Source organism: Homo sapiens, chromosome 20, assembly GCF_000001405.40.
Source record: "Homo sapiens chromosome 20, GRCh38.p14 Primary Assembly".
Classification (NCBI taxonomy): Eukaryota; Metazoa; Chordata; class Mammalia; order Primates; family Hominidae; genus Homo; species Homo sapiens.
Window position 1 is genome coordinate 23,393,641 of NC_000020.11, and position 23,993 is coordinate 23,417,633.

At 40.3% G+C, this 23,993-nt stretch overlaps 1 protein-coding gene across 10 annotated transcripts in view, besides 2 other annotated features; it reads right to left on the bottom strand.

Moving 5' to 3' along the window:
• The window catches only part of NAPB (NSF attachment protein beta), a 46,967-nt gene that overhangs the window by 19,119 nt on the left and 3,855 nt on the right, over nt 1-23,993 (bottom strand). Inside the window, exons 2-5 of one of the 10 annotated variants that reach the window (NM_022080.3) lie at nt 9,353-9,432; nt 3,432-3,548; nt 1,499-1,545; nt 1,282-1,359 (exon numbers count right to left, since the gene is read on the bottom strand). In NM_022080.3, coding sequence (NP_071363.1) covers nt 1,282-1,359; nt 1,499-1,545; nt 3,432-3,548; nt 9,353-9,432 — 322 coding nt within the window. Of the gene's footprint in view, nt 1-1,281; nt 1,360-1,498; nt 1,828-3,431; nt 3,561-9,352; nt 9,433-23,993 lie in introns of those variants that run through there. The other 9 variants (NM_001283018.2, NR_104266.2, NM_001283020.2 and 6 more) reach the window with 9 other exon arrangements.
• Nucleotides 14,508-14,567: an enhancer, noted in NCBI's record as "active region_17638". NCBI's record gives its function as "activates an Ori minimal core promoter by ATAC-STARR-seq in GM12878 lymphoblastoid cells {active_cell/tissue: GM12878}" and the evidence as "EXISTENCE:reporter gene assay evidence [ECO:0000049][PMID:35858748]".
• Nucleotides 14,708-14,767: an enhancer, noted in NCBI's record as "active region_17639". NCBI's record gives its function as "activates an Ori minimal core promoter by ATAC-STARR-seq in GM12878 lymphoblastoid cells {active_cell/tissue: GM12878}" and the evidence as "EXISTENCE:reporter gene assay evidence [ECO:0000049][PMID:35858748]".

The window sequence follows — 23,993 nt, forward strand, 5'->3', positions numbered from 1 at the left end:
GATGAGCAAGCATATGAGAGGGCATATTGTAAGGAGACATCTGCTCAGCAATACAAGAAGTTAAGTGAGGTGTGTGGGGATCTACTATGTCTTCCTGGGGGGCTAAATTAACTAGGGGGTCATAATAGTTAATCATGGAAATAGGTAATAAATGAGCAAAAATGGAAGGGCACGGGGAAGTTAGCCATGTGGACTTGAAAGATGTGAGGAGTCAGCCACGTGGACATCTGGGGAAGAGCTTTGCAGACAGAGGAAATCGTGGATACAAAGGTCCTGAGGCAGGAGCGCTCATCTGGCATGTGTGCGGAACAGCAAGGAGGCCAGGATGGCCATGCAGGGTATGCAAGAGGAGGAGAATAACAGAAAAGAGGAGAGGCCAGGCCACACAGATGCATGGGGAGTGTGGGGCTGGGAGGAAGCAATTCAGTGGACCCATGAAGGCTCTGCACAGCTCCAGCTGTTCCTCTTAGTGAAAGGGGTCTAATGACTGTCAGCAGTAGAGAAACAGAGTATGATGCAATGCTTAGAAGGCTCACTCTGGCTACTCTGTGGCATGGGGATGTGGGGTTGGCAAGGTAGGGAGAGCAAAAGCAGGGAGACCGGTTTGAAGGATCCTGCAGCGATCAAGTGTGAGCTGAGAGACAAGGTAGTGAGTTGTGCCAAGACTTGGGAGCAGGAAGGACACCGCTCACAAAAATTGCTCACAGGTTGTAGAGAAAGAGAAAAGGCAAGGAAGCCTGTAGTTTAGCGGGGAACACTGGGTTGGGGACATCTGAGAATCCAGTCCCAGACATGTTGGGTTAGAGATGACTGCTGGACAAAGTGGAGAGGTCAGCAGGCAGGTGGATACAGTAATCTAGCATTTGGAGAGAGGTCTAGGCTGCAGTCAGATTTCTGAGTCACTGGCACACAGATACTTAAAGCTGTGATGCTGACTGAGTGTACAGAGGTGACCTCTTACACTTTCTTCACTGGGCCTTAGAGTACTAAGCAATACAGCTGAAGGTTCTTTTGGCAATGCTAATGTTCTGACATGAATCAGAGAGAGTGGAAACAACAGGTGATCTCTGTAAATCTTAATCAGCTCTCATGTCTTAGATGTCCACTCCAGGAAAACAGCCCATCTACTTAGCCAGCTAGTAGACTTTGCCAGAAAGTCTCCAGGCAAGGCCATCTATGACCACTCTACACCTACGATCACTCTCAGACTGAGGAGAGGAGAGTTCTTTGAGTCAGCTTATCTGCCTGCTTCACATCTGAGGAAGTGTGCCCACTGCTTACCTTCTCAATGTCTACAAGTTCAGTCTCATAGATCTCTGCAATAGTAATGTGGTGCTTGGCTGCAATTGTAAACCTTCCCTAGGGGAAAAAACAAGAAACAGTCACACACCGATTTTACCTATCTGAATGCCAGTTTGGGAACATAAAAAAGAAAGATAGAACTCTAAGCCATCTCAAGACTCCACCCCACAGCCACTCAAGCAATGCAATGTCTTACCATGTCTGTGTAAATGTCGATGGCTGCATTTAAGCAGTTGATAGCCTCTGAAGCGTAGGCATTTAAGAAAAACAATGAAAAATCCATTCAGTCAAAGAGGGTTCAGGTGAGGCTGTCTTCCTGGCTGTTATCAGAACGTTAATGAGGTATAATTTTGGAGTGGAGGGTGGGCAGGTTAATGAGAAGCAAACAAAAATCATGCACAAGTCCAGATTCATCAGCATGGCTTTGTTCCCAGCAGCTATAGTATAATTTAGGGAACTGTAGCTGGAGTAACATTGGCTTAGTTACTCTTAACCTTAAAGTGAGGACTCCATCCAGGCAAAAGACTGTATTATAAAGAAAATAAAACCATAGAGGTTGTCACCAACACTGATAAATTGTATCTGCTAAAATATGAATGCAAACATATTCCTCATTAATACCATGCATATATATTAATTTTGGAACATGGCACCACATCACAAGAACAATCACCTCAATAGATTCTACTCTCCATGCAGCCAAAAGCAAAAGCACTTTGAAATGCCTATTCAAACAACCCTTAAGCAAAGTCAACATTCTGTATAATGTTCAAAGATGCTAAATTGTAGCATACTAACAAAATGAAGAAACAAATCTAATAAATAATAATGCTAATAAATTTTACTAATTTTCTAAACAAGTGAGCCAAAAAATTTTCCCTATCATAAAATGATGGTGTTTATGATGCTGGCATACAGTGACAGCTCCAAGTTTATTACGTTTGGTTTAAAGAGGCAGCAAAGTAGAAAGGCCTGACTACAAAATTAGAAAGGTAAGCAGATGAACAAAAATTAAAACAATTTCCCTCTAAACTACATAAAAAATGTGGATCCCTGTTACACCTTTTAAAATACAGAATATAAAGAGAAAAATAATCTATCAATAATCCCGCTCAAATCCGTTGTTAGTACTCAGATGTACTTTCCTTTTGCGTTTATTAGACACATTTCTATATGCACAAACTTTTTTCTGAAAATGAGATTATACAACATTCAGTCTCATGTGCTTCTTTAATTGACATGTAAACATTTACCAGGTCACTGAAGATTCTCTGAAACCAGGGATTTTAATGCCTGCACCATATTCTAAAGTACTGATGCATTACAATGTTACCACTCTAACAGCTTATTTAACCTGTGTCCAGTTTGTCACTTTGGGAAATAAACTGTGATTAACCCTTATACCAAAGGTATTGAAGATACCCTATTTCTTTATGACATATTTATTCTCAAAATTTGGGATCTGTGTGTTAAACAAAATGGACTGCTAAAAGAAAAAGGAAAAACACAAAATTTCCGCTGTGCACGCGTGTGGAAGGTAAGAAATTAATACTTTTAATTACACTCTTCTAACTAAAAAGAAATAATCTTTGCAAAATTTTACCACATTAAATATCCAATTGCATTCTTTCCTCAAAACAAATACTTTGAAAAACTTTTTAAAAAACCAAATGAATACTGTATGAATCAGACTTTTTAACGATTGAATATTACAATCTCCCATTAACTGGATCTGAAAACTCCTTAGGTATTTAGGAGTAAGGGAACATAAGAGTTTCCTTTTATGAACAATATACATTTTCACAAAATTAAGATATAAGAAGTCTTAGATAAAATTAAAGGTAATTTCCAAAAAATTCTCTAAAATGCAATATAAATAAGAGTTTAATTAAATGATGCTATAAAGTAAACAGCCAGTATAAATTTAACATAATTTCTCCTCATAAAAGCCCCCAAATGATTAAAAAAGAAAAATCCCTAAGGTTATCAAAATTCTCTATTATTCCAAAATACAAAAATTCCTTTTTACCAGGACTTGAAAGCACACCAACACTGACCTTAACGTTGAGGGAAGTACTGACTGGTTAGTTACACACAGAGATAGCATGCTACATGCCTGGCTGTCTTACCTTGGGGATCTGCCTTTTTGTAAGCATTTCCAGCATCCACAAAGCTGGTAGCAGAGTCATGTTTGCTCTGAAGCTGCATGTGGAGCTTGGCTGCCTGACAAAATGCGTTTCCTGCAGCTGAAGAAGACACTACAATTAAACACAGAGGAACAAGTCCCCCCCAGAGCAGCCCATGCTGTAAGCACTGGACCTCCCTAGAAAAATTATATTCCACTGAAAAGAAGCATTCTAGTCAGAAGCAAAAATCCATGTGGTCCAGTGCACCTCGGGCAAATATAAAAATAACCAGAATCAAGTCAAACAGCGATGAAAGCTTCTCCACCTCAGCTCCAGCAGACTTTCCAAGTGTCCCTGGGCACTAAGCCACTATTCCCTGATCTGTCCATTCAATACCAGTAGCCAAGTCTTGGGCTACTCAATTCAATTCCACTAACATATAATAAACATCAGCTAAGGGCTTCAAGCCACAAATGATTAAAGAAAGGTAAAACACTGAGCGCAAAGATATTTGCTCACTTTTCTATCTTAGTGTCTCCTACACTTAGCTGTCGGTGTGGAAGAAACTGCTAATGAAGGCTTCATGGATAAAGTAAGTTTCCTAAAAAGTGAAAATCAGGCCCACAATTTTGAAATCCAGAAAAGTCTAAAAATCCAAATTTTTTTCTTTACTTTATAGCAAAATCTGACTGAAATTTATATGAGGTTTAATCTATTTTACCCCATTTAGTGTGAGAATTTACAAATTTCCCTGCAGAATCACTGATGGATCTGGTTGTGGGGTACCACCCAGGTCTCCAACTGGGACACAGTACAACATATAAGGTACATGAACTAATCTTTTTCAGAAAAGGTTTTGGATCAGGGACCATGGATTCTGGAGTGCTGGAAAAGAAAGAGGGAAGGAATCGCTAGCAGAGGAGTCACAGGAACACAGAAGAAATGCTTGAAGGTAAGAAAGGGCTGGAAGTGGAGGCCAGTGACAAGCCTGCCCTGACTGGAGGAGGCCAGTGGAAATCAAGGCTGAGGCTGCATCAGGCCACTTCCCAGAGGGTTTAAACATCAACATGCGAAACTTCCTGAGTTCAGAGAAAGCAACACAGCAGAGTGCCTCTGAAAAATGAGTCACATTGGGGAAGTCAGTACAGCAGAAATGGAGAGGAAAGAATCTGATCTACCAGGAAAAGCATGGTTAAGAATATCACAAAGCCTTTAGGTTTCTAAAAAAATTATCATAAAGCAGTACTCACTGCTGATATTAAACATTTGCTATAAATTTTTTTTGTGAGGAAAAAAAATCCAATTCTTTTCTTTTTTTCAAGACAGGGTCTCAATCTGTCACCCAGGCTGCAGTGCAGTGGCGTGATCACAGCTCACTGCAACCTCCACCTCCCAGGATCAAGAGATCCTCCTGCCTCAGCCTCCTGAGTAGCTGCATGTGCCACCACACCTGGCTATTTTTTATTTTTAATTCTTTAAAAAATTTTTTTGGCTGGGTTTGGTGGCTCAAGCCTATAATCCCAGCACTTTGGGAGGCCAAGGCAGGTGGATTACCTGAGGTCAGGAGTTCGAGACCAGCCTGGCCTGAACATAGCGAAACCCTGTCTCTACTAAAAATACAAAAAATTAGCTGGGCATTGTGGCAGGTGCCTATAATCCCAGCTACTTGGGAGGCTGAGGTAGGACAATTGCTTGAATCCGGGAGGCGGAGGTTGCAGTGAGCCGAGACTGTGTCACTGCACTCCAGCCTGGGTGACAGAGCAAGACTCTTGTCTCAAAAAAAAAATTTTTTTTTTTTTTTTTTTTTTTTGTAGAGACAGGTGCTATGTTGCCCAGGCTGGTTTTGAACTTCTGGGCTCAAGCAATCCTCCAGCCTCGGCCTCCCAAAGTGCTGGGATTACAGATGATTATACCTGGCCGTAAACATCCAATTCTGCTAAAGCTTCAGCTGCATCTCTTGTTCCAACTCCCTCTCCCCAGAGGAAATGCACAGTTCTCATGTGGGTTTCTGAACCTGAGGGCAAAGGGACAGTACAAACTCTGGAGCCCACCTGCCCAGGTTCAATTCTTGCTCTGTACCACAGTTTCTGATTAAAAAGAGTACCCAGGCATCTTTGAAAAATATGTAACCACCAGCATGACATGGGTAGTGCTATGATCTGAATGGCAGTATCCCCCCAAAATTTGTATTACTGGAGCCTGATATCCAATTTGACAGTATTAAGAGGTGGGGCCTTTGGGGGAGTGATAAAGTCATGAGAGCACCACCCTCATAAATGGGATGAGTGCCCTTATAAAAGAGGTTGAAGAGAACTGCCTTGTTCCTTCCACCACGTGAGGACATAGCAAGAAGGCGCCATCGTGGAAGGTGAGAACAGTCCTCACCAAATACGGGATCTGCTGGCACCTTGATCTTAAACGACCCAGCCTCCAGAACTCTGAACAATACGTTCATTTTCTTTATAAATTACACTAAGGTATTTTGTTATAGCCGCAGGAAGAAACCAAGGCACTGAACAATCAGAGTACATGCCAGCCTCAGGGCTAGAGCTGGAACTGAAGAAGCCCTGCTGGCCCCTTGTGAATCATGAGAGGCTGGTGGGTATCCAGAAGGGGCAAAGGCCACTGCCAGGACAGTGGCCAGGCACCTGGGGTACTTGGGGCAGCACTTAACCATGAAGTGGCAACTCAGGAACATATCTGGCTAAGTGGGAGCTTTAATGGGCTCTGCCTCAGAAGAACGTAGTAATAGCTTGGACTTCGCAAGTAAAGTGCTTAGAAGGGCCTGACTCACATTACACACGGTGGCCACTTTCATTATTACATGCAAATCTAGCCTTAGATCATATCTGTGGTTTGGCATATTGAAATGCCATCTTTTTTTTACAATCTACATCCTTGCTCTCCTGCTGGCATTTCATTTTTGATAACTTATCTATGTTTCCTGTCTCAGAATCAGTCATGGGCCATCCTTTTCTTGCTCAGTAATACCACAACACCCAGGCTCTTCTGGGCTACCTCCATTTCTCCAGACAACAGTAAGCGCTTTAATTTTACATTTTCACATTCCCACATTCCAAAACGAGTTGCTGGCTTACTTTTTCACTCTGACTATTCATTCCAATCACTGACAGCAAATGCTAGCTCGGTCTATCTAAACTTGGAAGTGTTGGGCCGGGCACAGTGGCTCATGCCTGTAATCCCAGCACTTAGGGTGGATCAGGCACTCCTCGTGGTCAGGAGTTCAAGACCAGCCTGGCCAACATGGAGAAACCCCATCTCTACTAAAAATACAAAATTAGCTGGGCGTGGTGGCACATGCCTGTAATCCCAGCTACTCCGGAGGCTGAGGCAGGAGAATCGCTTAAACTCGGGAGGCGGAGGTTGCAGTGAGCTGAGATCGCACCACTGCATTCTAGCCTGGACAACAGAGCAAGACTCCATTCTCGGAGGTGGAGGGGGAACTTGGAACTGTCTTTAAAGGATCATATATTAAATTAAATGGTCTCTGGGAAGCCACACAACTTAGGCTAAATTTCCTCACCCGCAAAACTGGTATAATACCTGTGAGGATGATCTCTCAAAAGCTGAGTATCAAACAAATTAGCTTAGTCATTATGAAAGAACTTTTAAAACTATAAAGAGATGCAATGCTGTTATGATCATCACCAATGCAACATGGATAGAACTTCAAGGAGTCTAATATTCATCCACTCAACAAATATACTGAGCACCTATGACTTTGCAGGTAATAATCCAGGGCCTGGAGATACAGCAGAGATAAAAACACACAAACATGGCCTTCCAAGGTTTACTTTCTAATGAGAATCACCATATAATAAAAACATGTAAATATAAATGAATAAAACATTATGTAATTTATTTTTGCTAGATGGTGATAACAGTGTTGGAGAAAGAAAAAAAAAAAAGTTTCCAGGAAGGACAAGATTGTTATTTTTAAAAGGGGTGGCCAGAGAAGACCTCACCAATAAGTTGACATGTGAAGAGGGAGCTGAAGGAAGCAGGGACCCAGCAACATTCTGTTTGGGGAAAGAGTAGGGAGACAGAGGGAACAGTACATGCAAAGGCTCTGAAGTGGGAGCTGGGTGCACAAGGAAGGGGATAGTCTTTGAGGGCCACTACAGAGACGTCAGCTCTTATTTGGAATGATATGACCTTACTTAACTTGTGTTACGTTACTTCATTAACACATTTATGCCTAGTGTTCCTTCACTGGAACGCTAGGCACGTGGGAGTTATTTATATCCTATCCTACTGCTCAAGGTCATCGCCAAGGTCTGATTTCCAAAATTCAAAAAATTGCAACCTCAGACATAAATGGAAACAGACTGGAAAAGTGCAGCAGTATGACAATGTCAGGAGGCTAGAGCATCACCCCAGGCAACAGATGACGCGGGGTGCACATACAAAGCCTCCTTAGTTACATACATGATCAGTGGCCTCTCTGAAATGGAATTTCCAAAGGTTAGAATACCTCATCACCAGATACAATAAGTAATAAGTGGTCTCAGCCGGGCACAGTGGTTCATGCCTATAATCCCAGCACTTTGGGAGGCCGAGGTGGGTGGATCGCCTGAGCTCAGGAGTTCCAGACCACCCTGGGCAACATGGTGAAACCCCGTCTCTACTAAAATACAAACAATTAGCTGGGCGTGGTGGCGCGTGCCTGTAGTCCCAGCTACGAGGGAGGCTGAGGCATAAGAATCGCTTGAGCCCCAGAGGCAGAGATTGCAGTCAGTCAAGATTGTACCACTGCACTCTAGCTTGGGCTGCAGAGTGAGACTCTGTCTCGAATAAATAAATAAATAAACAAATTAAGTAAGTAAATAAATAAGTAAGTAAGTGATCTCTTCAGGTAAGATCACTTTTTACTTATAAGACCTGAACAAAATAAAAGAGGGAATGTGAAACAAACTGTTTTCTCCACCATTTTAAAAATACAATATAATTCAGGCGTAGGTGTGTTTTGAAAAATAGCATATCTAAAGCCTTAGCTAAAACTAAACTTCTTACAAAGATCTTTAAAGCCAGAAGAGACCTTTTAGAATCATCTAGCTCAAAAGCATTTTCTCCTTTGAAATGATTTTAAAGTGTCTGCCTTGAAACAGCTTGTAGAGGGCGAGTCCCACTTCCAATCCCACAGCAGCTGTGAGCCAGAGCACAACACCCACGTCCCCTGCTCTGGTCAACGGTGGTCTCCATTTTCACTACAGAAATATCCCATCACTAAGGCATGAAAGATCTCTTTCGCTGAAGGGAGAGGGATGAATTTCTCTCAAAGAGCCATCCCATCTCAGACCAATGAAAATAATAATCCTGTGAATTTTGTTATGCCCGGTCTCACTGGGTAGAAAGCATTACTTTAAAAAATAACCAAGAGTCTATTGAGGTTAATGTAAATCCATCCCCCTCCCCCCAAACCCCACTTTCAGTTCTCAGTGGAATCACAATCAGTTATTGCGTAGCAGGGAATGGTCATTCTCAACCAATGTTCAGGTAAAGAAAATTCTCTTTATCCCACTAGTTTTAATGACTTTTATTCCAACTTTCATTCCTTATGGCACTGTGTTTATTTGAACATATTAGTAAGAAGCAAAGATTACTCTAATTCCAAGTAATTTTAACTATTTTAAGTTACCACATGCCTACTGTATTAAGAAGTTTATAGAAACTAAGACAGACACTGTCCCTGTGCTTAAACTTAAGCCAGGCTTTCCAGCTTCATTCACTTAGAGCACACCCCTTTAGTCTCCATATGTCAGTAGCAGCCACATCAGTTATTCAGCACTGACATCTGTCTCTGGGGCCAATAGTCTTGCTCTTCAAGGGGAAAACAGTCATTTCTCCCTTCAAAGTGATTTTAAACCATTTGCCTAAAAAGCAAACAAAAACTTTGTACATACCACTCCAATTTTTAGCCATCTTGAACATATTTGCAGCTCTGGTATACATTTCACAAGCCTCTTCTATTCTTGTGTTTCCTCTGAGAAAAAGTTAAAAATTAGATTTTTAACAACCATCCACATCTCTAATTCTCCCTCCCTCAAATGATTAACATTTAGTATATACTTGCTATGTGCCAGACAAGCATTACAGAATCTTAACCTCTATTTAAAGGAGATACTCTTACTATACCTGTTTTCCAGATGAGGAAACTGGGGTGTTAAGTGGTAAAGTAACTAGCCCGAGGTGACACAGAAAGGATAGCTCAGAATTAAGACTCAAACACAGGGCAGGGCATGATGGCTCATGCCTGTAATCCCAGAACTTTGGGAGGCCAAGGCGGGCGGATCACCTGAGGTCAGGTGTTCGAGACCAGCCTGGCCAACATGGTGAAACCCCATCCCTACTGAAAATACAAAAATTAGCTGGGTGTGGTGGCATGTGCCTGTAGTACCAGCTACTCAGGAGGCTGAGGTAGGAGAATTGCTTGAACCTGGGAGGCAGAGGTTGTAGTGAGCTGAGATCGTGCCATTGCACTCCAGCCTGGGCAACAAGAGCAAAACTATGTCTCAAAAAAAAAAAAGACTCAAACACAGATCTGGCTGACCCCAGAACCAGAGGTGTTACAAACTGAAGATGTTATTCTGATTACATCTTTAATCAGAGTCCTTCCCATCTATAAAAGCTGGAAGTTTTATATCAGTCTGAGTAGTTAAAAGTACGTTTTTCAAAGGAGATTAAATTTTGAAGGATAAAGACATCTTTACCCTGTTATCTCCCAAGAGTTCAGCACTATGTTTATTCAGAAGCCACGTCTTATGAGAAAGTGGCACGACATTCTACAGCTGTATGATGTCAACTCTGGTAAGGGCAAGTCCTTCTCCAACCTGGAGGAAGCCTCAGGGTCCGGCCCAGTTTAGAAATGCATTTTGCAACACCCTGAGAAATGCATTTTACAACACCCTGAGAGAAGGGTACCTCCACTGTTGCTTGGACATATACAGTTCTGCAAAGTTCTTTACCAAGCAGCTGATTCCACTGAGGGACAGCTTTAAGCTACTTGGAAATTTCTTCTCACATAAAAGCCAAAATTATCCTCCGTAATCCTCCCAGAGTTAACTTTGCTTTTACTATGCTAAGGCCCCTCCATGAAAGACGTTTATCTATCTTGTCTATTTATAATCATAAAATAAACAGTGGAAAACTGAGATGCAGCAGACTCTGTACAGTATACATAACAAGGAACTCGGTGGGGTATGGACATAAGGACTCAGAGACAGGACAGGTCAAGGCTGACACTGGATGCTGGGCCTGGTATGAACACATGTACATGAAAGAGTGCACACACGTGTTAGGAACTCCATTAAACTCCAAGCTCCAGCAGAGGAGCTTGCAGCTCCCTGTCAACACAAGTCCTAGTGCAGAGCAGAGGCTGGGCATACAGCAAGGCTCAGGTGTGACTCAGACCTTAGGCAATAACTACTAACAGTATGGCCCTGGACCAGTTCTTTAACTCCTTCACACCTCAGTTTTGGCATGCGTAAACTGAAGATAATGTATACCTAGGAGTTATTATGAGGATCAAAAGAAATAATCCACATACAGCTGCCACTGCAGAGCTTCACCCAGAGCAGGTACTCAATCAGAATGGTTATCATATCTAGATCCATGTATGGAAGGCATAAAAACCTTTGGGAATATTACATTGTATGTCTCATGAGGAACATGTATCTAGAATAAATGCAAATCGAAACCACACATGTGATACCACATGGCTCCTGCTAGGATGGCTAGGATGGGCTACTGTCTGTCAAAAGACAAAAAATAACAAGAGTCAGGGAAGACGTGGAGAAACCTTATATATGTGGAGAAACCTTATATACGACTGGGAGGAATATAAAAGGGTGCAGCCACTTTGGAAAATGTTACCATATAACCCAGCAATTCCATTCCTAGGTACACACCCAAGAGAAATTAAAACACATCCCGGCGGGGCGAGGAGGCTCACGCCTGTAATCCCAGCACTTTGGGAGGCCGAGGCTGGAGGATCACCTGAGGTCAGGAGTTCAAGACCAGCCTGGACAACATGGCGAAACCCCATCTCCACTAAAAATACAAAAACAATTAGCCAGTGTGGTGGCACATGCCTGTAGTCCCAGCTACTTGAGGGACTGAGGTTACAGTAATCCGAGATCACACCACTGCACTCCAGCCCACCAGTCTAGGTGACAGAGCGAGACTTTGTCAAGAAGAAAAGAAAGAAAGAGAGAGAGACAGAGAAAGAGAGAGAGAGAGAAAGAAAGAAAGAGAATGAAAGAGAGAGATAAAGAAAGAGAGAAAACGCATATCCACACAAAAACTTGTATGCAACTGTTCACAGCAGCATTAATCATAATAGCTAAAAAGTGGCCAGGCACAGTGGCTCACGCCTGTAATCCCAGCGCTTTGGGAGGCTGAGGTGGGTGGATCACTTCAGGGCCAGGAGTTTGAGACCAGCCTGGCCAACTTGGTGAAACCTCCATCTCTAGTAAAAATACAAAAATTAGCTGGGCATGGTGGCGGGTGCCTGCAGTCCCAGCTACACAGGAGGCTGAGGCAGGAGAATCACTTGAACCTGGGAGGCGGAGGATGCACTGAGCCGAGATAGTGTCACTGCACTTCAGCCTGGGTGACACAGAGACTCCGTCTCAAAACAAAAAAAAAGCTAAGGAGTGGAAACAACCCAAAAGTCCATCAACCGATTAACAGATAAATAATATGTGGTATACACATACAATGGAATATTAATGCGCAATATGAGCAGTCACAGTGAGATTCCATTTATATGACAGGTCTACAGTAGGCAAATTTTTAGAGACAGAAAACAGGTTAGTGGTTGGTAGTGCTATGGTTTGAATGTTTTTGTCCCCTCCAAAACTAAATTAAAATTTAATCCCCAATGCAACAGTGTTGGGAGGTAGGGCCTACTGGGAGGTGTTTAGGTCATGAGCCCTCTGCTCTCATGAATGTATTAAGGCCACTAATAAAAGAGCTTGTGAAAGGGAGGTTCCATTTTCTCTGGTTCTCTTCTACCATGTGAAGACAAAGCAAGAAGGCCCTCACCAGATACCAGACGCTGGTGCCTTGATCTCAGACTTTCCAGCCCCCAAAAACTGTGAGAAATACATTTCTGTTCTTATACATTACCCAGGCTAAGGTTATTGTGTTACAGCAGCGCAAAGCAGGCAAAGACATCTAGAGGTGGGAGTGTTGGGGAAAAGCAGGGAGGTGAGGGAAAATGACAGCTAAATGGTACAGGGTTTCTTTCTGGGGTGATGAAGATGTTCTAAAACTGCTGTGGTTGCATAGCCCTGTGAATAGGCTAAAAACCTCTGAATTGTACATTTTAAATCAGTGAATTGTACGGTATGTGTATTAAATCTCAATAAAACCTCCTCCCCAACACACACAAAAAAAATCAAAAAAACAAACAAAAACCTTTGGGGACTATGTTACACAGTGAAAGATAGAATGGCAACAAGCCATACCAAAAATGAAGTGTCAGAATAAGCTACAGCTTTCTCTCACACCTTCATGTCCCTTTCCCTCCACTTCAAATCTACACATTAAAAAAAAAGAAAAACAGCTAATAAGTTTCCTAAATGGAAAATTCCTCACATGAAAACATTCTCAACCTTAGCCATACCTCCCTTGGCGTAAAGTCTTGCTACTTTCTTGGGTCTTGTTTTTCTAAAGAGTACTGGGAATCTTGAACTGTAATTATAGTTCAATCATTCTTATTAAAGGTTTCTAAATAAAACTAGCTTAATTAAAATGTACTTTATCCACTTATTTTCAGAGACAGGATACAGCTAGAATTAACAGAGTTCCTACATTATTCCAGGTTTTATGCTAGATATTTCCATATATGTTATGTCATTTTCATTATTACAACCATGAAAGACACTATCTCTATTTTACTGAAGAGAAAATGGCATCTAGAGGACAATGGCTTATCCAAGGCTACCCAGCCAAGGTCAGTAGTGTACCTGACACTTGACTTCAAGTTCAGTGACCTTTGAACTTTGCTAAACCATGAGATCCTCATGTCTCCTGAAACAGAATTGCCAGAGGTAGCCTCACTTTAAAAACCCATTTGTCATAAACTGACCATAACTTTAAAACTTCCTGAAAAAAGGTACTTTTGAAATTACACCGGATGCTTATTTTGTTTTATGTGAAAGTTAATTTTTTGTAAATTTTATGGACAAGTATTCAGAATTTGCATTCAAAGTAACAACTGTTATCCAGAGGTCTCACAGTGAGGCAGAAGATCCTTGGAAAAAATATTCTGTGGGGAATCCATATTACGCAGCAACATAAGTTAAACACTTAGCACTCAATTGACATTAAGAAGCTAAACTGAGCTAAATTAACTATTTTTTTGTATTACAGGAATCTGACTTGGAAGAAGAAAACATTTTCCCCACCGTGAAAGAAAACACTGCCCAGCTAGCACAAAAACCACTGCCACCTGGCTGGCCCAGGTGAACCACCCTTGCATTCCAGAGGCAAGGCAGACTCTCTTCTTCTTGACCGTACTTATTCAGGAAATATTTACTGAGATCCATATGTGCCAGAAAACACTAAGGAAATAAACTTCTTGCCCACAAGGAGGTCACGACACTGAGGAAAGAATATCAAGCTTCACGGCCAGAAGGGTCTGAGAAAAAGCCTATCAATTCCCCATGTTCCCCTGAGGAAACATTGTCAAAGCCACAAATGTCCCACCAGGAGCCAGTGAACAGCAGAGCTGTGAAAACCAATTCATCTTCAAATAATCTAAAATCTTGATTTCCCCCATCCTGAATAATAACTATTGCAGAGCATTGTAAAACTATGACAACTATAGTCCGTACTATTTTAAAACTGTGGGTGGGAGGAAGGAGACATCGTAGAATTGTGAGAACTAATGACACACACATCATGAGATGTACCTCAAAGAAAAAGGCTGACAACTCCTGAGATAGAAATAAAGTTGCCTCTAAAATCACAAGATATTAGAGTAGAAATACCACAAAAAGTGACAGTGACAGTACTATGAAGATAAGCATGTAGAACCAGAGGCAAAATTCAGCTCTAACATCAGGATGCCATGAAGGGGTGTGTCAAGCCACCCCAAAAGACTGAAAAGGGACTTGCCCAGTGTGGGGAGCCTGGGGGGATCCCCACAAAGCATGGTACCTCCTTCTTCTCATTATTTACCAGCAGTATCTCCTTAGCCACTAGACTGATGCTCTGGGGAAGAGGAAGCAGCACAGGGCCTAGCACACAGGCCACAATAACAAGGCTGATGCTTAGTGTCTGGATGGAACAAACTGTCCACATTCATTTTTTAAGGTTTCCCATGTATGCCTCAAAATAATAAGCAAATGTAGAAAGAATCCAGAAGAGAGGAAAATTCAAAATCTGTCTGAACGTGCCTCTGCCATACACAACTACTCTGTGATATTATAGGCTCTATAAACAATTTATTTCCACCTGATGCTTCACTTCTGGAAACTCCACAGATTCTAAAAACTTGGGGCTTTCCTAGGTAAACTTAACCCTTCCAAGATTACTTTATTTCAGTGCTTAATATATTTTAAAACAGTACAAATCTTTTATGTGATGCAAAAGTAGAGATTTCTTCCGTGGAGGAGATGCAGAGGCCCCAGAAGGACACAAAACAACTGGAAGAGATATTTTTACATGTTCTCAACACAAAGAAATGATAAATGTATGAGGTGATGAGTATGCTAACTATCCTGATTTGATCATTATACAACACAGACGTATATCAAAAAATCAAACTGTACCCCATCAATATATGCAATACAATGTGTCAATTAAAAACTATTTTTTTAAAAAGGTAGGAGGGAGATACTCTCCAGAATGCTAATTTGAATTCTTACAGCAAAAGGCAGCATTTAAATGTTTCACTGTTCTTTTATAAATCGGTAATGCAGAAGCCCAAGGTATGGTGGAAAGGCCCAGGGCATGGGCTTGAGTCAGACCACCTACAAATGAACAGTATCATTTATTTACCAGCCTCCAGTTCCCTGGAGCAGCCAGGCCTGTCTTGGCCTTGGAGAGAAAGAAAAATTCCACCAAGCCAGCTAGCACTGTACCAGTAAGGGGAGCGCTGTCTCAGTGGCCTTGAGCTTTTGGAATCAATTTTCTAAGAACTTTTCAGTTTACTTCTGCTTAATTAAGGACAAAAATCATAGATTCTCAAACAGAGAAAATAATCAGAGACATTTAAGGCCTGTGACCAAAGTATTTGTGTTTAAGCACAATTTCCTGAAATAAAGCTTATGAGAACAAGTATAACAAAGAAAACTAGTTAGACTTTATTTTGACAATAGTTTTCTAATGCCTCAACTTTATATGGGGAGTAGTCATCTTTATAGAGAAGAAATAGGTATACACTGGACCTATTTATAAAACAAAACAAACATATTTAAATACTTAAGAAAGATAATGGTAACTGCTAGATTAATTCAGAAATGACTGTTACATACAACCTGATTTACCAAGAGCAGTTTTTAAATTGAATTTCAGTCTTTATAAAAATTTAAGCTGAATTTCAGTCTTCAGAAAATACTGATGAGACATGTGATTCCCAAAAAATCATGGTGGCTGCTTAGATAAATATATCCACACATCCTCCAAAAACCTTATAGATCAACAAAAAGCATACACAACCACCCATAATCCGTGCCTACAGCAAAAGGAGGCAGTATTCAGCAAGCCTCCATTAAATATAATTTAGGAAATAAAAAATCCAAAACTACCAGAGCTAGCAACACTGCCTCTGCTGCCAGTCAGAGGGGCGTCTGTCGACAGGAGAGGGGAGTTTAACCTGGCAATCATTGTCCAGGGAAGAACTCTCAGCAAGGAAGTGCCCTACCAGGGTGGGCAAACACCCCAGACCAGGTGGAAGACCTGGCAGGTTAGAGCACTGCAGTTGGGAACTGAATAGAAGGGCTTTGCCACAGGCTGCAGTTTCCAGAAGACACTGCTTCTGGGAGAAGGCAACTTAGAAGGTGGGGGCAGCTCTATGGAGGTTTGGCAGTGAAAGGAAAGAAGGCAAGTGATGGAAATACGTTCTTGAAACAAAAGAGTATCACAGAATTAGAAGTCACACAAACCTACCCCTCCACAGCACCATTCATTAAAGAAACCGCACTTAACTGTACCTACACAACGCAGCATTTAAACTAAGAAACCCATGAAGTCACACAAACCGCTCATCTCCTATCACAGAAACACATGCTATTGTGTGTCCAAGAAACTCTGTGACTCTCTACACTAAACAGAAAGGAGAAACAGCATCCATATGAAGCTACTACATAAGAAAGAAGATCCTAAGTGAATTAATGCAGGAACAGAAAACCAAATACCGCATGTTTTCACTTATAAGTGGTAGCTAAACACTGGATACCCATGGGCATAAAAATGGCAACCGTAGACACTGGGGACACTAGCGGGGTATGGGGAGAGAAACAGTTGAAAAACTATTGGGTACTATGCTCAGTATCTGGGTGACAGGATCATCTGTACCCTAAACCTCAGTATCACACAATATACCCAGTTAACAAACCTGCATATGTACCCCCTGACTCTAAAATAAAAGTTGTAAAAAAGGAACAAATATTAAAATAAAAATGAGCCATACCAAAAAAGCCCCAAAACAAAAAAGAAACAAGAATTAAAATACGTTCCCTAAAACAATCACAAGGCACAGGAAAACAATTCCATATGACTGAAATATTATTAAACAGATATGAAAGTACATCATAAGCTAGAAATTTAAAAACTCATCATGGAAATACACAAAAAAATAAGATGATGAACTCTTGTTTCAAATTCTAGAAGGATAGAAATAAAAAGACAAAATGATCTCAGAAATAAAATCTCTGTTATAGCATACCTAAGGGGAAAGCAGATTCTACTGACAATAAGGAAAACTATGAAAACAGCCAAGAGAACAAAAATGAAGAGAAAAGGATCTAAGTAAAAGTAATACAGGATGGGCAAAGAGCCAATATCCATGTAATGAGAGTCCCTAAAGAGGGGAAGAAAAAACCCATTTTCACAATCTGAGAAAATTTTCTGGAAACAAAAGGCATGAATCGAAATACTGAACAGGCCTACATGTACTTGGAAAACTGACCCAGAATAGTCTACTGTGAAACATATCCTAGTAAGATGACTAGATTTTATAAATGAAGAACATTTCTGGGCTTCCACATAAAAACTCAAAGTTACTTATAAAACTAAGAAAATCAGGCTAAGACTTCAACAGCAATATACGGAGCAAAACAACAGTGGAACAATGCTTTACCAGAAACTCAAGGGGGAAAAAAGTGTGAGCCAAGGATTATACAACCAGGCCATCCAGCATGCAACCCCCAGTGTAAGCCAGGACCCAAGGGATAACTAAGAGATGACTAGGAAACATAGCTGAAATGACTGGTGGTGTCACTGCATATGTTGTATTGTAGATCTAAGACAAAATGTAAGGACAAGGGTAGAAAAATAATAGGGAAACACTTCTATGTCTGACAAAGTACAAACAGCTTAAAAAAAAAGGGATATTAGAGAACAAGAGATGTAGAACGTGCTCACTGAGAAGCACATAGGTAACAGGAGTTTTCTGGAGTGAACAAAATAATAGGCGCCTAAGTAAGGAAAAGGAGCTAAGGATATTTAAAAACATTTATAGCATAAAGGTAACCAGTAGAACAAAATTACAAACCTTCCTAAATAAAAAAAGAGACATGAAGACAAATAGCAATGAAAATATAATATACAGTAAATATAGTAGTATGACAGTTAAGAACCAATCATATACTCGTCATTTTCAGATCTGCTCAAAAAACAAAACCCAACTTTGTGCTCAGTACAAGAAACACAACTAAAATACCTATTCCGAAAGGCTTAAAATAAAGAGATGGTCAAAAGTATACCAAACAAATCAAGCAGCTCTCATTAGAACTGTCATAACAGCAAATAACCCTGACATCTCCCAAAGGCTTCTCTCAGTCACTTGACTTGTTTACTGCAGACTGGCTGTGACTGCTGCCTCTTTCTCCAAGTGTCATCATTCTCTACTCTGGAATGTAGCACTTATCCGGTATATATACTCTTCTTAATTTCTTACAGAAGGGTAAAAGCCATGGCAGAAGTGCCTTCCACTCATACTTCATCAGTCAAAGTCAGTCACATGGCCACAACTGGCAGCAGAGGGCACAAGGTAACAGACAGCATGTATGATCCTCTTACATAATACAGTCCTAAGGAATGCAAACACAAGCAGTAAGAAAACAGAGATTGCTACCCTGCAATGAAACAAAGTAGAATTTGGGCTCAAAGGCTTTAAATGAAATAAAGAAGTTCACTTCATAATGCTAAAAATATAATTCATAATAATATTAGTTGTGAAAATCTATGTACCAAAAACACAGTAGCCCCCTTTATAAAGCAGAAATTGCAAACGTTAAAAAAGATAGAAATACACTTATAAGAAAGCAGATATTAATATGCCCCCCAAAACAGATCAAGTGAACAGAAAATACAGACATGAAAGACAGAGACAATATAATCAATAACTAGACAAGAGGGATCTCTATCAAAATTTGATAAGAAAATATCCACCTTCTAAAGTATACATGGGAGATTACAATCCCAGCACTTTGGGAGGCCAAGGCAATTGGATCGTTTGAGGTCAGGAGTTTGAGACCAGCCTGGCCAACACGGTGAAACCGTGTCTCTACTAAATATACAAAAATTAGCCAGGTGTGGTGGCGTGTGCCTGTATTCCTAGCTACTGGGGAGGCTGAGGCAGGAGAATCGCTTGAACCTGGGAGGTGGAGGTTGCAGTGAGCCGCACCACTGTACTCCAGCCTGGGCAACAGCGTGAGACTCTGTCTCCAAAAAAATAAAGTGTACATGGGTGCTGGGTGCAGGTGGCTCATGCCTATGATCCCAGCACTCTTTGGGAGGCCAAAGCAGGAGGATTGCTTAGGCCAGGAGTTCGAGACCATCCTGGGAAACACAGCAAGATTCCGTGTCGAAAAAAAAATTTTAAGTAAAGTGTACCTGGACCATTCATGAACACCAACAATATATTAAGTGGCAACGAAAATCTCAGTAAGTTCTCTGATCATAATGAAAAAAAAAAAGTTTAAGTAATAATATACAAAGAAAGGCCATTCTTTCTACCTGGAATAAAACCCTTACAATAAAAGCCTCTTGCAACAAAGGGGAAACAAACTAAGATAAAAACATTATGTAACAGGATCTATAAAATACAACTGAAGCAGTTTTAAGAAAAAAATGTATAGCCATGAATATTTTAATCCATACAAATAAAGCAATGAAAACAGTGAATAAACACCTCCCTAGAAAAATGAACCAGAGGGAAAAACAAAAGAAGCCAAAGAAAGCAATAAAGATAAAAGTATAAGTCAGTAAGACAGAAAACACAAAACCAGTAGAACAAATCAATCAAAATATTGGTTGTTTAGAGAAAAAGAATCAAGGAAAAAAGGGGAAAAACACAAACACAAAAATAAAGTGACAGAAGAAAATTACTAAAACAGAACATTTTTAAAAGTCAGAAAAGACTACTATGCACAATGCAAATACATTTTTTAAAACTTAGATAAAATGAATTATTTCCTAGGAAAACACAATTTACCAAAATTGACCTCAGTAGAGATAGAAAATTTAAACATTACAAACTCCAGAGACAAAAACAAGAAAGTTATCAAAGAAATACCCATCAAAAGCCCCAATGGTTTCACTGTGGTATATTCTTAAATCTTCAAAGACCAGAGTCCAAAAAAAAAAAAAGAAAAACATCCACATTATTTTTAGGAGGCACCTGTAACAGCAATACTTCAAGCTGATAAAGTAAAGCTATATACAAATGAATTGTAGATAAAACAATCCTAAATCATGTATGTAAAAACAGAATCTAGGCCAGGCACAGTGGCTCATGCCTGTAATCCCAGCCCTGTGGGAGACCAACCAGGCAGATCATTTGAGCCCAGGAGTTTGAAACCAGCCTAGCCAATATGGTGAAACCCCATATCTAATAAAAATACAAAAATTAGCTGGGCATGGTGGCCTGTGCCTGTAATCCCAGCTGCTGAGGAGGCTGAGGTGGGAGGATCACTTAAGCCTGGGAGGCGGAGGTTGCAGTGAGTAATGAGCACATCACTGCACTCCAGCCTGGTCAACAAAGTGAGACCCTGTCGCAAAAAAATAAACAAATAAATAAAAATAAAAATGGAATCTACATTTAAAAATATATTATAATCCTGAGAGGTTTACTCCAGGAGTGCGAGGACAGTACAATACGAGGCCTCATATTTACTAATTAACATATAATAACTCTTAAGGAGAAAAATGTTTATCTCCGCAGATATTCAAAAAGGCCTTCAAAATACAACACTAATCCCTAATGAATACACGGACTAAAACTGGAATTGACAGACAAGTCCTCACCATGAAAAAATATACCTTAATTCAAGGAAGTATTGACTTATTAGATTTTGTTATTACTTATAAGTTCCACTTAAATACAGAAATAGTTAACATTCTGAAACTCTACTTCCAAGTTTCCTTACTGTGAACTTTATTAGTCACTGAAAATTCTTTGAAGGTACAAAAGCTTTACTGATTTTATAACCAATCAGATAAACACAATGTGAAAATCTAAGAAGAGTATATGAAGTCTGTAACTAGGGTGATTCTGTGTCCTCATTGCATAGATATGCTTGACTTGTACCCATTTTATTAGTATCTCAAAAATATCACAATTTGGACAATATATTCTCTTTGACTCCATAACTCACAAAAATAGAAAAATATATTAAAAAAATTTTAAGTATAATATTTTGATTAGCTTAATTATTCAGCATTAATTCATACATGAATTAAGATTTAAATATGCTGTTTATATATAAAAGGTAATAGAGATTGAGACATAACTAAGTAAAATGAGGAGGTAAAGGGGAAAATGTAAGACCATGTAAGTTATAATAAATTTTTCATCATTTTTAGCAAAATCAACAGATACTGTCTGAAAATCAAGATATCAGGAAGTAGAAGTGCTCTAAAATTATTTAGAAATATGGTGGTAACCATCAGAAAAACTAATGAGAAAGTTAAAAATGGTTGCTTCTTGGGAGTGAGATTACGTAAAAAGAAGACTCAGAGAACTTTACTTTTCAACTGAAAACTCTCTGCGCTGGGCACGGTGGCTCATGCCTGTAATTCCAGCACTTTGGGAGGCCGAGGTGGACGGATCATGAGGTCAGAAGTTCAAGACCAGCCTGGCCAACATGGTGAAACCCTGTCTCTACTAAAAATACAAAAATTAGCTGGGTGTGGTGGCACCCATCTGTAATCCAAGCTACTCAGGAGACTGAGGCAGCAGAATCACTTGAACCCAGGAGGCAGAGGTTGCAGTGAGCCAAGATCATGCCACTGCACTCCAGCCTGGGCAACAGAGCAAGACTCCATTTCAAAAAAAAAGAAAACTCTCTGTACTCCTTGTACTTTTCTACCGTGTACAGCTACAATGTTCATAATAAGCAAATATTTAAATAAAATGCCTAGTACAGTGGCTAACACCTGTAATCGCAGCACTTTGGGAGGCTGAGGTCAGCAGAGCAGATCGCTTGAGTCCCGGAGTTGGAGACAAGCCTGGGCAACATAGCAAGACCCTGTCTCTACAAAAAATACAAAATTAGTCAGGCATGGTAGTGCATGCCTGTAGTCCTAGCTACTTGGGAGGCTGAGGTGGGAGGATCTCTTGAGCTCAGGAGGTCAAGGTTGAAGTGAGCAGATATCTCGCCACTGCCTTCCAGCCTAGGCAACAGAGTGAGAGCTCGTCTCAAAAAAATAAATACATAAATAAAACGGAAGAAAGCGACTTAAACTCTCCTTTACTTGGTATAGCTTTGCTCTTGAAAACTAGGTAAGAATAAAAGAAAAAACATCAGCATTTGTATTAGCATTAATACATTCATTCTCTCCACCAATATTTACCACGTGCCTAACGCATGCCTCAGGCTGGGTGAGGTGTTAGCCACAGCAACAAAACAGGCAGACTTCCAAGGAGCCACATATGATTACTGGCCCTCCCTCTCTCCAGAGTAACTGCACCTCACAGAGCTCACAAGAATGAAAGAATATGTGGAGAAAACTGCAAAAATGCAACAAGAAAAAGGCCAGTCTGGTAACAGTTTATCATTTGATACCAAGCTGTAACAACCTAAAATCAGAAAACCAAACAATTATAATAAAGTTATATAGCTCTGTGCAACTGAATAAGCATTCTGACCTCATTCAATCCTTAACAATCGTGAAAAACAGATTCTGTCTCTCTGCCCATCTGAAAACTAAAAAAAACAAGTTCTGAGTATGATTTACTTGACTATAGTCACCAAAATAGTAAATGAGAGAACTTGAGCCTCTACCTGGTCTCCCCATGAATAATAATATAATTATATTTCTTACGTATATTATATAATTTATAAAAATAATTGTTCAATTTATAATCGATTTCTTTTGAGAAAGATACACAAATATACGTATATATTTCTTATACTGTATCACCTGTCTCTGTCAGTAAACCTGAGCCTAATAATTTTTTTAAAAGTTCAATCTGCATTTGAACAAGAATTGTAACTGAGGAAAACCTAAATGCTTCACCTATGTTATCACATGGCCCCACCATATTTTGGCCAAACTTAAAAGCAATCTTTGTTGAAATAAACACAAGTGAAGAATACTGATAATTTACAGTCTACAATGCTTAAGAAATATTCACAATTTTCACAAACAACCAACAAATTATAGATTCATAATTATTTCAAGATAACCCAATGGGGCCTTTCATTAAATTTACATTGACATTGCCAAATTTGTAGCTCTTGTGTAAACTCAGACTAAACACTGAAAGGCAAAGGAAGACAGCATTAACCATAAAGAACATCTTTCCACTGGCATTCTTTTTTTTTTTTTTTTTTGAGACGGAGTCTCGCTCGGGGGCCCAGGCTGGAGTGCAGTGGCACAATCTCAGCTCACTACAACCTCCACCTCCAAGGTTCAAGTGATTCTCCTGCCTCAGCCTACCAAGTAGCTGGTATTACAGGCGCCCGCCACCACGCCAGGCTAATTTTTGTATTTTTAGTAGAGACGGGGTTTCATCATGTTGGCTAGGCTGGTCTCAAACTCCTGACCTCAAGTGATCCACCCGCCTCGGCCTCCCAGAGTGCTGGGATTACAGGCGTGAGCCACTGCACCTGGCCTCCACTGTCAGTCTTAAGCACTTTCTTCTATGTGCATTGTGCAGGTTATTCCCAACCGGGTCTCATAGCAACAAGATGGAGGGGATAGTATTATAAGAGGCTTTTCCAATTCAAAACTATCTTAATGTCAGACTCAGGCCGATTTAAAATCATACCAGTAGTTCATTAACATTATAAACTGGAATTTGAAATTAACTACAAAATTCCATAGCTCATCCCTGGCAACAAACTAAAGGACAAGACAACTCCT